Source organism: Homo sapiens, chromosome 21 (assembly GCF_000001405.40).
Source record: "Homo sapiens chromosome 21, GRCh38.p14 Primary Assembly".
Taxonomy (NCBI): domain Eukaryota; kingdom Metazoa; phylum Chordata; class Mammalia; order Primates; family Hominidae; genus Homo; species Homo sapiens.
This window is the reverse complement of record NC_000021.9, coordinates 30,607,117-30,622,965: the sequence shown is the minus strand read 5'-3', so window position 1 is coordinate 30,622,965 and position 15,849 is coordinate 30,607,117. Positions and strand designations below refer to the sequence as shown.

Sequence of the window (15,849 nt, the reverse complement as noted above, 5' to 3'; positions counted from 1 at the left end):
CTCTAGTGAAAGAGCTTAGATTCTCTCCAAGAAGAAGCTATCAATCAGATTAGGCTTTAAGATGAACAGCATTTGAAGTACTTCTCACTGACAGGCTGGATAGCAGATGTAAGAAGCAAAAGAGGTGGATTTGAAAAAAACGAATAGAGAAGACACAGTGATGTGTCTAGTTGACTGAAACATAGCTACACAATGATATTCACATGGAATTGCTTGAAGGATAGCATAGCTAAATATGGCTGAAGTAATGCATATATACATCATGTATTAAGCAGTTATTGTATTCCATTTTGAAGAAATGGTTTTGATCTGTTTAACAGAATGATCAAAGAGCGATGCATATAATTTGTTTCTCAGTCTATTCACAGTCATAATATAGACGAGTGAGACACTGGGAATGTCCATATTTCCTCTTATGCAAAAGCTATGCTCTATCCCGAGTACTCCACACAGAGCATACAAACAGACAGCCAATACTCTGGGCAAAATAACTTTACTTGTATATCAAGACTTTTGTGATAGTTCATTCCTACTTCCACATTCTGCTATAAAAAATAAGAAATTCTAGAAAGACATGAAATTTTCAACATGATTCATTGTCATTCATTTATTTATTCAAAATATTTATTAGGCGGCAACTATTCTAGCTGCAGGGCTGTGATCCTTTATCAATGATAGGGTGTGGAATAATGTGTTTTTTTATTATTCATCACTTGAGAATGTGTCAGTTAGGCAAGAGACTTTGAGAAAAATCCACTGTATCAGATAAAACACTGGAGGAGGATATTTTAAATCAGTTGTTGATGTAGTAAAATAGGGCTTCTTAAAATATGGGAAAAAATACATTTCCCACATCATGCCATTAAAAGTTTTAAAAATAATGAATACTTTTCTTTGAACTCTCTGGAGTGCTTGCATCACGTGTATTGATATTTAAGAATATTGTGTGAATCATACATAGGATGTTGAGAAACATTGCTCCTCACTGACGTTTTATGAATTGGAGATTCCTATTCCTTATTAGGTTGGCTTGGAGAAGAAAACTAGAATAATTAAGGCCAGGTGCGGTGGCTCACGCCTGTAATCCCAGCACTTTGGGAGGCCAAGGTAGGTGGATCACCTGAGGTCAGGAGTTCGAAATTAGCCTGGCCAACATGGTGAAACCCAGTCTCTACTAAAAATACAAAAAATTAGCAGGGCCTGGTGGCATTTGCCTGTAATTCCAGCTACTTGGGAGGCTGAGGCAGGAGGATCACTTGAACCCAGGAGATGGAGAATACAGTGAGCTAAGATCGCACAACTGCACTCCAGCCTGGGCAACAAGAGTGAAACTCTGTCTCAAAAAAAAAAAAAAGCTAGAATAATTCAAAAAAGCAGTTTTGTTTTCTTTAAATTAGAAATTGGATGAACAAGGTTAATATATCCCAATGCAAGTGAAAGGTGGACCTGAGATACGTGTTGTCCTCTTTTGCTATAGAACTGAGAGGAGCAGCAAGAAGTGTGGAAAGCAGAAAAGACAATTTCTATCCACCTGAAGGCACAGATCTGAATGAGACAACCTAGCTGTGGGGTTTTAGAAAGATAGCCCTAGCATATGTTAACAGGAAATGGGACTATTATTGTGTCAAATGACATTTTGCTTCCTTATGTATAGGTAATAATGCTGCCTGTAGGTACATTTGAAAGTAGCTTTTATACCCATGTTATTATAATGGACTGATGATTTTATGCTTATCTTTTTTGAAACAGTGTCATCTCAGAATAGCATGAAAGGCAGCGCCCAAAAGCAGTTCCTCACAGTTCTATACAAATTAATGTAGAATAAAGTAGAACCATCCTGAATATGAGAAAACAATCAATTAAAATAGAACTTAAATTTTTTTCATATGAAAGATACTGATTGAAAATATAAAATAAATTTATTGGTAGCACAATATTAAAGATAAAACTTACCTATAATTTTTGACGAATTTTTGGCTCTTTTCATGAATTCAGAAGCATGACAGGTCTGAACTTTGTGTTCTTCAAGTTCACCAGGATGAGCTATCAGAGTTTGTATAGCAAATATAATTACTCACGTGAAAAATTATAGAAACAGAATCAGGAAATCAAGCTGGAGGAGTGCAGTAGACTGAACTGCTCTAGGTGTTCCTCAGTGGAATCCATGGTGTCATTACCTGGCAGAGTAAGATGAGTGGCAGCCATGTCTGCACCTGCCATACTCAGCCACAGCCACAGTCCTTCCCATAGTCACAGCCACAGCCAAGCCGCAGCCCAGGCCACCAGAAAGATGGCTGTAGTAGGACATGGTGTTCAGAAGTGGATGTTTCAGTTGTGGATCAGGGAATTATTTTTCTCAGTTTGAATGTCACCATCTGCAAATGAAATTTTATACATCTTCAATAGTGTATGAGGCCGTTTGGTTTCATATTTCAGAGAAAGCTGCATAATAAAACTTGACGAAATTTATTTCAGTAAGTACAGATATCCTTATAAAAATGTAACTATTTTGTCTGAAACTCAATAATAATGTTACATGCCCTTAATTAGAAGATGCTTCCTGTGTCTTGGTGATCTTCTCACTCTTGTTTGTTATTAAAGTCTAGACTCAGGTTCCTTAAAATGTTAACAATATGCAAGCCCTCTGATCCAGATTTTTTTCTTTACTTCTAATGATTTCTACTGGTGAGTCAAATATGCAAACAGAAACTGGAAGTATATTTATTTGAGTGAGGAAGTGATACAAGTGGAAAGTTATCTGAAGTAAAATATCTTGTAAATTACACAATTTCTTTCCTTGGGGTAAATAACTTTTCATCCCAAATAATATTTTATATTGATTATTAACAGTGAACTGACCACATTTACAATAAAATGCTAATATAAAGTCACATATGTTTTTTTTTATCTTGAGAGTCTTATTTATTTGTTAGCATGATTTTGCTTCTATGTCAGATCACTGTAAACATTTATTTAGAAATCGAAGTATTGGTGTGAGATCTCCCACATCTCACCTCTCGGGTTCCCGTATTTTCACATTTGTTTTGATGTTCTCTTTGGACTTCTCCAGGAAAGCGTTTTTGAGACAGTGGAAAATAAATATATGAAATAGGGTAGTGGATCCATATAGCAGTCACCTGGGGGAATAAGGAGTATTTGTTGTAAACAAGTAAGGACACACATCTGAGGACTAAGATAAGTACTTAGTACATACATCTAAGTAAACACACATCTAAGTGCTAAGCTTGACCTAGAGGACTTCCTGTTCCAACTTTTAGCTTAAATATTTACATTTAATAATTTGGTGCTTTTTCTGACAAACTTAAAACCAATAGATGTTGTTATTTAAAAAAAATAAAACATACAGTGGATCTCTTATTGCCTAAACAAGATCACATACTAATCTGCAGTAACAAGCAAGTGGACATACATAAATATATATGTACATTTTAAAAGGTGCTTATATATTAAAAAGAATTTTATTATGATGTTTTGATATAACTGACCTGAGATGTTCATTATAGTACTATGCTGGTTACCAATATTGTTTGCCAAACTTGATGGACTCTAGTGGTAATAAAGATGAATAGTTGCTTTGTTTTCACTATTCTCCCCTTCTTTGAATATAATAGTTCTTTTTTTATGCTGGGCATGATCAACTTAGGAAAAAAATCCTCTAAATTTCCCAAGCTTCTTTGAAACCCACTCTAGTCATGTGATGAAGTTCTGAACAATGCATAAAATTTAAGGTATAATATGACGGCTTTCTGGATCCTTCCTTAAGATTCAAGTTGCATGGAGTCTATCATCTTCTTTGTATATTTCTTGGTCCTCTTCCCTAGGACACAAATGCCACCATCTTTGACTATGAAGATGAAGGTTACATCTTATGAATGATGAAGCAATGATTTAGAATGAGTCTGGGTCACTGAGGACTAGAAACCAGCTAGAGATGACTTAAATCCAGACTTTGATTATGTGAAAGAGAAATACATTCTTAAAATGTACACTATTTCTATCACTTGCAATAAATTCTACTCCTATCTAATACAACAATATAGAAAAAGGAATGAGAAAATTCTGCTAGGAACCAAATTTTAGACAGTGTTTCCACTTAAAAATTAAATATATCCCTGGGAACGATGGCAGCAAATATAAGAAAAGAAAAGCCATGGGCTATATTATTCTCTTTTAAAAGAATCTCGTTTATGCTATACAGATTAATTGCCCCTAGAAAGTGAATTTTAAGTAGGGTTAGTCACTTGAGTTCTTATATTTGAGATATTGAAGACTTTGTCACTTTTCTTTTAAAATTCTTGTTGGAATATGTATCTATTATTTGAACCATACTTTTTAAAACCAACACACAGAGAGTCAAAGAGCATAGTGTTATTTCCTAATTAAATAACTCCCATATTTGAGGATTTAAACCAAAATATTTCAGGCATGCTTCTGTCTCAAGTAACGTACCACCAAGAAATAATGGTGGATAGGATTAGTTTGTTTGGAGTAATGATTTTAAAACTCTTCGATCATAAAAGAACTTACTGAGGATCTTGAAAAGCCATTCTTTATGTGTTATATTTACTGATATTCATCTTTTTAAAATTAAAATTGATGATTTTAAAATATGAGTTAATCAATTTCAAAATAACAGTCATAATTTCATATTTTTAGAAACATAATTTTTTTAGAGCAAAAACTTCTTAGGAATAGTGGAATGTTTTACATGTTTGGTCAATCTCTTTAATGTCTCGCTTAATGGAAGACAGTTTCTCATATCTGATTTAGCTTTTAGTCTGTTGTGATAACATGCATATATCTGGAAAATTCCACCGTTCATTCATGAATGTATGGCAGTAAAAATGAAAAATGTATTATGAAAATAATTTTGCCCTTATCGAGACCTCAAAAGGGTCTTTGGTTCCCACATGCGTCCCTAGACCACACCTTGAGAAAATTTGGTCGAGAGCAGAGATCTTCAAACTTGTGAGATGAGAAAACCATACTGTAAATATTTTGAACCTGCATTCCCAATTTCAATTCAACCATTTATTTATAAATTTTATACATGTGTTATTGCTAATAATCATTAGCAATAACACATATACAATATGTATAATAGTAAATATATTATTTTAGGTATGTTTTGATATTTTAGAAAATTTTAAGAACTGGCAATGCATAGATTTGGAGTTCTGTTTCTAGATTCATTTTATTCTAATTACTGGAAAAGATATATTGTTTGCTGTATTCATTAAATCATGATACAAACTTTTAATCCCATTATCTAGTTGTATAACTTGTTTTTTAAATTTCCCTAATATAGTTTCCTTAATGTCAATAGTTTATTTTTACAGATTAATTGAGAAGTTTGATTTTCATACCATGTGGTAAAAATTCACTAAAACTCTTCCGTTTGGAAAAAATGTAAAACCCAATTAGAATATTCTAATAGTACACAAATACCAGTTTTATAAAGTATACAACTAGATAAAATTTAGTAATATTACAACAGAAATAATCTTGAATATTCATGAAAAGATGCTCTCTCCCAATATAGCAGCATGCCTAGAATACTTTAGGAGCTGTTGCATGAATGCAATGAAATATGAAATGAACTTCATTATCAAAATCGCCTATCATAAAGAGATTTCCTATAAAGACATCCAGGTTCCCAGACATGGCACAGCACTTCCTGTATACAGGATCTATATCAACAACATCAGGCAACTGAGAGGCTTCATAGTGATGAAGCTACCAGAAGGCAGACAACTTGGAAAACTCATGGAAGCCACAACTTAAAATGTGTATGTGTTTCTATGTGCTCTGGAGAAACAAGGACAGTCAGCAGCATGCAGCCACCAGCCTTAGGTGTGTAGCTTGTCAAGCTCAAGTAGAAATTATTTGAAGAGAAAGCAATCAACTGTGTCCCTACAGAAGCTCAGTTTTAAATAGTGTGAGAAATATACAGAAGGACAAAAAATAGGAAAATGAAATAAGATGTAGTGTCAACCCCTTGGGATAGTAATTATCCACAGGTTTCCATCTTACCATCATCCACATGCAAAGTTGACAATGAAAATAATAAACATGAAAACACACTATATTTGCAAACAGACTAAATTTATTTAAAGGACTTAAGAATCAAAGAATTGCATTTTAAAACCTATTCTTTATCATCTTGCACAACAGAACCAGAGAAAGACAGCATCTGTAGTTCTTTGATAATAGCCTAGTTTAGGTTTCTGCTGTTTTGAAGACACAGGATCAGATGAACAAGAGCAGCATGAGAATCCAGGTTTCACAAGCAGACAAATCTGGTGAGCTCTAGAATTGTTCAGTAGAAACCATATGACCAATATCTTCCATAGCAAGATGGGCAGTAGTAGCCATTTCCATAGCCTCCATAGCCACCATAACCACATCCATAGCCACGATAACCACAGCCATAGCCACAGCCAAGCCCACCATACCCATAGCCACCATAATAGTTGCTGTAGTAAATCATGGTGTCAGAAATGGATGGTTCAGGTGTAGAAGAGGATGTTCTTGAATTTGAACATCTCCATCTTCACAGGTCTTTTATACTTCCTCAGTAGTAGGTGTGGCAAATCACAGGCAATGTTGCTCTTATTATGAATTATTTTGGGTTGACCGCTAACACCGCCAAGGCAACACTCTCATAAATCTCTTATTTCATTAGGCATAGTGAAGCCTTCATAGCTAGGATTCCTCTAGTGTTGTGTCAAGATTTTCACAATCAAAGAATGTGATTTGAATGACAGATTTTTTTTAACCTGGTTTTAACATCCTTTTTTCCTGAGAGCACATACTAAAATTTCATGATGAGATTCTATGAAATAACAGAAACTATGCAAATCTCATCTGATTCAAATTGGTTTTGGCTTGTTAATTCCTTTACATTCATCTACCAGTTGCAGTTGAAGAAGTCTGTCTGCATGGCTTTGGGGAGACAGATGTGCCTAAGGGGCAAGTCTTTCGAGTATGAGATCTGTAATATTGCCCAATATTTCTTCAGAGATAGAACAGTTTATTTCACTTTAAATACATAAGTCAGGTAACATTTTTACAGGATACAACTTTACAAACGTACAAATGCACTTTATTTTACTGTTATACCAAATTCTATCTTGATTCATTATTTCCACTAAATGGCAAAACATTTATTCTTGTCCCTTTCAGGTAAACTCAACAAAATTCAATCACTTTCTGGTTGTCAGTATTAAAATACAATTGCAATAAAGACATTACCACTCCTCATTCTCTGCCTGAGGTGTGCTTCGATGTGCAGTGATATGCTGTTGGTTTTGAGGAGGACCATACCTGTTCTGCACTGACACCTTTGGATGGCATAACACATATTGCCATTTTCCACTGCCACAAAAATAAAACTCTGTTCAATCCATTACCTAGCATGAAGTGTTACATCCTTGGGTCTCTACAGCCAGAACAGTCTTTGGTTGTAGTAAGGAAATCAATGAGTCTCCACTCAGATCCACCTGGGTGAGAACCAATCATTGTATCTCCCCCTGCTTGTGCTATGTGTGTTGGGGAACTTGGTAGGACTTTCCCCTTCTCAGTAAAACCAGGATGTGACTTTCTCTGTTGTTAGATGTACATCCTCAATGCAGAGTTTCTCTTCCCTTCAGCTTCAAGGACATAATGCCCCTAAATGAGAACTTAAGCATGCCTGAGTTCTCTTATTCAATTGATCAACTCTCTACTGAAGCTTCTATCCAGAAAAACAGGGATGGGATGAAATAAGTAAAGACAGCAAAATTTATTCTAGTATTCTGGTTCCTACTATGAACCAAACACTATTCAAAGTGTCTGGTATGTATCAAAAGATTTGATTTTCTAAATTTCCTTGTGGGGTAGGTATCATTATTACAATCCCATTTGCAGATAGGGCAGCTGAAGCATGTAGTTAACAGTGGTCAGACAGCTATGGATAGTAGAGGTAAAATTTGAGCCTAGAAAGCACATTACAGATATTTTACTCTTATTTACTATATTCAACTCACTCTTATAAAGTCATCTTACTAAGAATATAAGTCCAGAGGGCTACTTGACTTAATCATTCAATTTAGCTCTGATCTTCACTGCTTTGAAAAAAGATTAGGCTATAGTAACATGTTCCTCATAGTCTCATATTTTGCCAAAGACTTCTTGTTTGATGGTGGAAATATAGTAGGTTGCATGAAAAGATACTTCTGCCAGTATTATTGTTTTAAATATGAAAATACCTATACTTACTTTTGAGCCAGAACACAAATATAACAAATGCCTTGAAATTTCAGGAAAATTTTTATAAAAATACAATTTTATAAATAAAATGAAACCTCATTGATTACGAATTTGAAACTATGGGAAAGAACTATTGTTTTAAAACAGTCACAAAAGGAAATATTGATGTGAGAAAGAAAAGTATAGTTTTCTCATGCCTGGTATTTTAGAATTTCAAACTATTGGCTTTGTGTCAACAGTCTCTGGAAGCTGAGTGACACTTTCTGGCTTTTAAAAGAAAACCATCTCTCATGTGAAAATGAGAAGAATTCCTAAAGGAAAACAATGGGTTTGGAGCAGCAGGAAAGAGATGGAGAAACTCAAGCTCAAGGGAGATTACCATGACCTGTTGAATGTCAGCAAAAATAAGGTAAAATTATTGGTTGTTTAGAACAGGTCAGTTTGTTTACTAAAATGCTATTTCTTGCCATAAAGGCTGGTTGGAAAATGGTAATTTGAATGTCTGGTGTGAGTAGAGTTTTAAAGATCAGACAGTTGATGCTCATTAAAGATGCACAAATGTTTCAGATGTGGCTGAACAATAGAAAATGTTCTAAATGCCACAAGGCCACGATTGAAAACCAAGAGTCAACAAATTACTCATGCTGGTCCTTCAAATTAGCCAATGGCATGACTTGTGTATGGTTCCCACCCACACTGAGGCATATAAAAGGCCCTCTGCAGGGGAAGTGTTCATACTGAAGTCACCTACACTTCCTCCTACCCAAGGACAACCTCCACAACCAACACCATGTGTGGCAGCTACTACGGAAACTACTATGGCACCCCTGGCTATGGGTTCTGTGGCTATGGAGGCCTGGGCTATGGCTATGGAGGCCTGGGCTGTGGCTATGGCTCCTGCTGTGGCTGTGGCTTCCGCAGACTGGGCTGTGGCTATGGCTATGGCTCCCGCTCCCTCTGTGGCTATGGCTATGGATGCGGCTCTGGCTCTGGCTACTATTATTGAGGATGCCATGGGAGACTCTCACCCTCTATCCTGTGATACTGAGATTCACTAATTCTGAAGCCCACATGTTCTGAGATTTTCCCTTGAGTGATGATATCCTGCAATGGAAGTCTAATATGGTCTGTTGTTGAGCTACCATCTAACCTACAAATATCTTGAATTTCCATCATGAAACGGGATAAGGTAAAATTCACCTGTCAGTTCTCCTTTCATCAGAATGATGGTGTCACATCATCTGCCTTGATGACTTTTATGATGGAGCTTTTTTCTCTGTTCACCTAATAAACACATTTAATCCAGAAGAGAAACCTGGTGTTTATGTCAATCATTTAATATTTAAAATTTCTTACCAATAGTTTTTGTTTCAGTTTGCATGAAAGCTAACAATTAAATTCTTTGGGAGATATTTTTCTTACAATTTCTAGAGAGGTTTCTTTGCCAATTCAAAGCTCAATTGTTTTAGAAAAGTAAGCTTTTTAATAAATTTCAGTTTCCTCCTTTGCTTCTAGGGGAAGAATTTATGTTGTGCTGAGTAATTCTCAATACTAAATTAAGTACCTATCATTTATATGTTGGGTTATGCATTGCCTGCTGTCTGTCACATAACAAAGAAAAAATTTAATTTTCCGAAGCCTTCTTGTGCATATCTCCTAAAATAAATGAATGCTTGTTACTATATCCTTCATTTTGAATCTTCCATTTTAAAGAAACTATTTTTTAATGAGACATAACCAAAGGAATAGTTTTATAATCTAGTATACTCTAAGCTAGTAATAGGTTATAAAGCTATTTGACCTGCATAGTGGGCCATAATAATTAAATAAAAACACTATTTCAGGTATAAACCGAGAAGCTTCAAAGTCTCACAAGGCTGCAATTCAAGATCTTAAATGGGGCTGATTGTACCCAGGGCTTATCTGGGGAAGGATCCATTTCCAAGGTCATGCCTTTGTTAGCAGAATTCAGTTCCTTGCAGTTGTAGGACTAAAGGGCTCATTTTCATTTTCTTGTTGGCCATTTGTTGCAGTGCCTTGCTAGCTATCTTTTGGAGGCAACCCTCACCTCCAAAAGGATGCTCACAGTTCCTTGTCAAAGGGGTTTTGAAACATAATTGCTTGTTTTTCAAAACCAGCAAGGGAGGGCAAGAGACTCCAGCAAGATGGGTACTACAGTCTTATGTAACATAATCACATAAGCACACATAATCATAAACATACACCATATTCTATTGGCTAAAAGCAACAGGTCTCACCCTCACTCACAGAGAGGGGCTTACACAAGAGTACGGACATGTGGAGGCAGCAATCACTGGGCATGTTGATTCTTCTCACTGCAAATTCAGTGCATACAGTAGTTTTCCCTTAACCATAATTTCAGTTTCTGTAGTTTCAGTTACCCAAGATCAGCCACTGTGAGAAAATATTAAACTATTTTCAGAGAGAGAGAGAGAGATGGGTGGGGAGAGAGAAAGACTGTATTTACATAACTTGTTTTTACAGTAATTGTTATACGTTCCTTCTATTATTAGATATTGTTGTTAATCTCTTACTGTGACTATTTTGTAAATTAAACTTTATCACAGGTATGTATGTATACAGAAAAAACATACTACATATAGGCTTTGTTACTATCTTGGTTTCAAGTATTCACTGGGCATCTTGGAACTTATCCTTTGGGATAAGTGGGGATGACTATACACCCTTCATAATAGGAATTAGGAAGTTGTCCTTCATTTTAAGTGCTCTTTGACAATTTGTACAATATTGGGATTGCTTTGTCTTTAAATATTTGGTAGAAGTCTCCTGAGAAATCATCTGGGTTTGGGCTTTTCTGTTGTTAATTTTTATTTTTCTTCTTTATTTAAAAACTGTCCCTTAAAGTCCTTTTTTAAAAAACTTTGGCCGGGTGCTGTGGCTCATGCCTGTAATCCCAGCACTTTGGGAGGCCTAGGCGCTCAGATCATGAGGTCAGGAGATTGAGATAATCCTGGCCAAGATGGTGAAACCCTGTCTCTACAAAAAATACAAAAATTAGCTGGATGTGGTGGTGCGTGCCTGTAATCCCAGCTACTCGGGAGGCTGAGGCAGGAGAATCGCTTGAACATGGAAGTTGGAGCTTGCAGTGAGCCGAGATTGCGTCACTGCACTCCAGCCTGGGGAGAGAGTGAGACTCAGTCTCAAAAAAAAAAAACCAAAACAAACAAACAAACAAAAAAACAGAAACAAACAAACAAACAAAAACACTTTTATTTTAGGTTCGGGGTACACATGCAGGTTTGCTACTTAGGTAATTTGTGTCACAGTGTCATAGGGGTTTGTTGTACAGATTATTTCATCACCCAGGTAATAAGCTAGTACCCATTAGTTGTTTTTCCTGCTTCTCTCTCTCCTTCCACCTTCCACCCTCCGCTAGTCCCCATTGTGTGCCCTCTATGTGTCCATGTGTTCTCATCGTTTAGCTCTCACTTATAAGTGAGAACATGCCGTGTTTGGTTTTCTGTTCCTGAGTTAGTTTGCTGAGGATAATGGCCTCCACCTCTATTCGTGTCCCTGCAAAGGGCATGATCTCCTTCATTTTTATGGCTGCATAGTATTCCATGGTATATGTGTACCACATTTTCTTTATCTAGTCTATCATTGATGGACATTCATGTTGATTCCAAGTCTTTGCTATTGTGCATAGTGCTGTAATGAACATATCCATGCATGTGTCTTTATAATAGAATGATTTATAGTCATTTGAGTATATACCCAGTAATGGGATTGTTGGGTCAAATAGTAGTTCTGTATTTAGGTCTTCTAGGAATCATCAAAGTCTTCCACAATGACTGAACTAATTTACATTCCCACCAAGTGTATAAAAGCATTCTTTTTTCTCCACAACCTCGCCAGCATCTTTTATTTTTTGACTTCTTAATAATAGCCATTCTGACTGGTGTGAGATGGTATCTCATTGTGGTTTTGATTTGCATTTCTCTAATGAACAGTAATGTTGAACTTTTTTTCATATGATTGTAGGCCGCATATATGTCTTTTTTGAGGAGGGTCTGTTAATTCTTTTCATTAACTTTAAGGAAATGAATCTGTTTATGATTTCTAAGTTGAAAGGTGTCCATTTTGGTCATCTGCACTTCTCCAGGACATTATCAATTTACGTACATAGAGCTCTGAAACCCAGTCTTATATGGTATTTCAAATGTCTTCTGTTTCAATGTTTATTTCCCTCTTACTATTAATTGCGCATATGGTTTCTCGATTTTTTTCTTTGATCAAGTTAGCAGGTAGTTTACAAGTTTTGTTAATCTTTCAAATAATAGCATTTCATGTGATTACATGTATTTTTTCTTTTTGTACCTCATTAATATCTCCTTCTCTATTTATTATTTTAATCTGTGTGTATTTTTCATTTACTTAATTGTCCCTTGGGAAATATTTGAGCTAAAACATAATTCATATTACATAATTAATGAAATATAATTAATATTTCATAATATTAATTTATTTTCTTCTATTTTTACTGATAACATGTCAGTGCTATGAATTGTTCCTAACCACTTTAAAAATATTTCTCATAGGCCCTGTTACAGATTATTTAAACTATCATTAATTATTGAAAACTGGTAATTATATTTGTATGTCTTCTTTCAACAAAGAACATTTTTTTAAATACAAGGCTTGTTACTTTCCAGGTTAAAGGATTTTTCTGTTCTTTGTTCTTGTTAGTAGTTATTAATATTGTTGTGTGACATCAGAGAGTACCTTTCCCATTATTTCTGTTTTATAAAACGAATCTTTTCTGCCGGACATTATGTATGACCTTTGTGTGGATGTTCCATGAGAACTGGAGAAAAAAGGTATATTATTTATTATCAGGGCATAAAGGTCATTATTATCAAGGCATAAAGGTCAGTCTATATAAATGAGAGCTACCTTTTGAATATATTGTTTAGATCTTATCTCTGCTTGTTTATTTTTTCCACTTGATCTGTCTTGTTCCAAGAGTGCTGCTTATTAGTGTGTTTCTACTTATGTCTCTCAGTGGCATGTATCTGGTATCTGTGTCTTCATAAAGGGGGTCTTAGCATTATTTGGTGCATAAATATACATATATATATATAATAGATATCTTGTGATTTGCGTGTCTCTTGCTTGGTAAGTTTTCTTCTTTATCACTTTTAATGCCTTTTCCCTCATTTCTATCTATCTGACAGTGGAGTTGTTATGTTTTCTATTGGGATTTTTTTCCCAGACACCTTTGTGCATGGCTTTAATTTTGCATTTTGAAATCATTTTGTTTCAGGTGTTTATATAAAACATATAGTTAGGCTTAGTTCAACAGCCAAATTTAAAATGTTTATTTTAATTAATTAAATTCACATGTATTGCCATGACTGGTATGTTTGGTCCTATTCTTTATGCTTTAATGAATACCCACAAAAATAAAAAAAATTTTTAAATGGTATTTTGATGGTTGGTAGTTATATTAGTGGCTATCTGGTTACCTTTGTATATATACTAATTTTAATGTTCTCTGTTCCCTCTTTTTAAATTTAACATTTTATTATCTGACACAATAGCTTATATTAATATTATTTAACTTCCTCTCGTCTATAAAACAACAATTAGCTTGTTCTCTTTTCCTCTTCCATTCTTCTTCTATTATCCCTTTGTCATTTAGTTGGATTATAACTACTTTTCCATCACAAAATATATTATTTATGTATTATTAATCCTCCCATCTAATCCCTATATTTGGTAGCACACCAAATTCATATCATCACACACATACATACACACATACATTCATACCAAAACACATATGTTTGTATCCCCACACACTCACAGATGCACACATACACACATATATATTCAATACTTTGCTTAACACTTCCCATTCATCCCTTGATTAGATGATGCTCACCCTCTAGGGTGTTACTCTATATGGGCTTGTGGATGCAAAAATGTCTACTTTTTGTATGTAGGAAGCTGTTGTTCTACTCCATTGATATATGGAGGGCAGCTTTGTTAAATATAAAGAACTTGGATAACGCTTTCTTTTATTAGGTTCTTTAAAATGCTTTTCTTTTTGTCTTTCTTTGAATGTCACTTTTGAAAATTCCGATGAATAGCCTAATTATTTTCCTATTGTAAATTATGTAATGGTTTTCCTGAGAGCTTTCAGTGTTTGTTTATCATTGAAATCTAATATTTTAATAGTGTTTATATTATAATTGGTAATTCTAGATTAATATTCACTGTCCCTATTTAGGACATGTCAATAAGTAATTCAAGTGAAAGAAGAAAACAAAACAAAACAAAATTAACACCCCAAATATCATAGCTAAACCATGACCAGTAAAGACAAAGGAAAAGATCTTGAAAGCAGCAAGAAAGGCCAGGTGTGGTGGCTAACACCTGTAATCCCAGCACTTTGGGAAGTGGAGGTGGGAGAATCACTTGAGGCCTCGAGTTTGAGACCAGCCTGTATAAGATAGTGAGACCCTGTCTCTAGTAAAATTACAAAAATTAGCCAAGTGTGGTGGTGCAAGTCTGTAGCCTCAGCTACTCAGGAGGTTGGGGCAGGAGAATTTCTTGAACCTGGGAGGCAGAGGTTGCAGTGAGAAGAGATCATGCCACTGAATTCCAGCCTGGGTGACAGAATGAAACCTGTCTCAAAAAACAAACAAACAAACAAACAACCCAAAGCCACATGAGTTTTGAGTTTTACTTTTAAGTCCTTAATCCATCTTGAGTTAATTTTTGCATAAGGTGCAAGGAAGGGGTCCAGTTTCAATTTTCTGCATATGGTTCTAGTTCTCCCAGCACTGTTTTTTAAATAGGGAATCATTTTCCCATTGCTTGCTTTTGCCAGGTTTGCTGAAAGTCAGTTGGTTTTAGGTGTGTGGTCTTATTTCTGAGTTCTGCGTTCTGTCCCATTGATCTTTGTGTCTGTTCTTGTACAAGTACTATGCTGTTTTGATTACTATAGTTTTGTAGTACAGTTTGAAGTTGGGTAGCATGATGCCTCCATCTTTGTTCTTTTTGTTTAGGATTATCTTGGTTATTTGAGCTCTTTTATTGTTTCATATACATTTTAAAATATTTTTTTCTAATTGTGTGAAGAATGTCAACAGTAGTTTCACGGAAATAGCATTGAATCTATAAATTACTTTGGGCAGTATGGCCATTTTCACATTATTGATTCTTCTTATCCATGAGCATCGAATGTTTTTTCATTAGTTTGCATCCTCTCTGATTTCTTTGAGCAGTGGTTTGTAGTTCTCCTTGAAGAAGTCCTTCACTTCCCTTGTTAGCTGCATTCCTAGATATTTTATTCTCTTTGTAGCAATTGTGAATGGGAGTTCATTCATGATATGACTGTCTGCTTGTCTGTTGTTGATATATAGAAATGCTAATGAATTTTGCACGTTGATTTTGTATCCTGAGACTTTGCCAAAGTTGCTTATCAGCTTAAGAAGCTTTTGGGCTAAAACGATGAGGTTTTCTAAACAAGGCATCATTCTTCAGTATGCCAATTGCATTTTTCAGCTCCAGAATTTATGCTTGACACTT

At 35.2% G+C, this 15,849-nt stretch overlaps 3 protein-coding genes across 3 annotated transcripts; 1 reads left to right on the top strand and 2 right to left on the bottom strand.

Moving 5' to 3' along the window:
- Positions 1–2,115: 2,115 nt before the first annotated feature.
- KRTAP20-4 (keratin associated protein 20-4) lies at positions 2,116–2,339 on the bottom strand. The gene has a single exon (NM_001350977.1). The coding sequence runs from the start codon at positions 2,306–2,308 to the stop codon at positions 2,174–2,176; it is 135 nt and encodes a 44-aa protein (NP_001337906.1). The 5' UTR covers positions 2,309–2,339; the 3' UTR covers positions 2,116–2,173.
- A 3,927-nt stretch (positions 2,340–6,266) lies between these two features.
- On the bottom strand, positions 6,267–6,541 carry KRTAP20-1 (keratin associated protein 20-1). The gene has a single exon (NM_181615.2). The coding sequence runs from the start codon at positions 6,509–6,511 to the stop codon at positions 6,341–6,343; it is 171 nt and encodes a 56-aa protein (NP_853646.1). The 5' UTR covers positions 6,512–6,541; the 3' UTR covers positions 6,267–6,340.
- Positions 6,542–9,035: 2,494 nt separating this feature from the next.
- Positions 9,036–9,535, top strand: KRTAP6-1 (keratin associated protein 6-1). Its single transcript, NM_181602.2, has one exon. It carries the CDS (start codon positions 9,062–9,064, stop codon positions 9,275–9,277), a length of 216 nt encoding a protein of 71 aa, NP_853633.1. The 5' UTR covers positions 9,036–9,061; the 3' UTR covers positions 9,278–9,535.
- Positions 9,536–15,849: the final 6,314 nt, after the last annotated feature.

Excerpts from the sequence above, each read along its gene's own strand:
- KRTAP20-4 (NM_001350977.1), bottom strand. The coding sequence starts at position 2,308 with ATGTCCTACTACAGCCATCTTTCTGGTGGCCTGGGCTGCGGCTTGGCT.
- KRTAP20-1 (NM_181615.2), bottom strand. The coding sequence starts at position 6,511 with ATGATTTACTACAGCAACTATTATGGTGGCTATGGGTATGGTGGGCTT.
- KRTAP6-1 (NM_181602.2), top strand. The coding sequence starts at position 9,062 with ATGTGTGGCAGCTACTACGGAAACTACTATGGCACCCCTGGCTATGGG.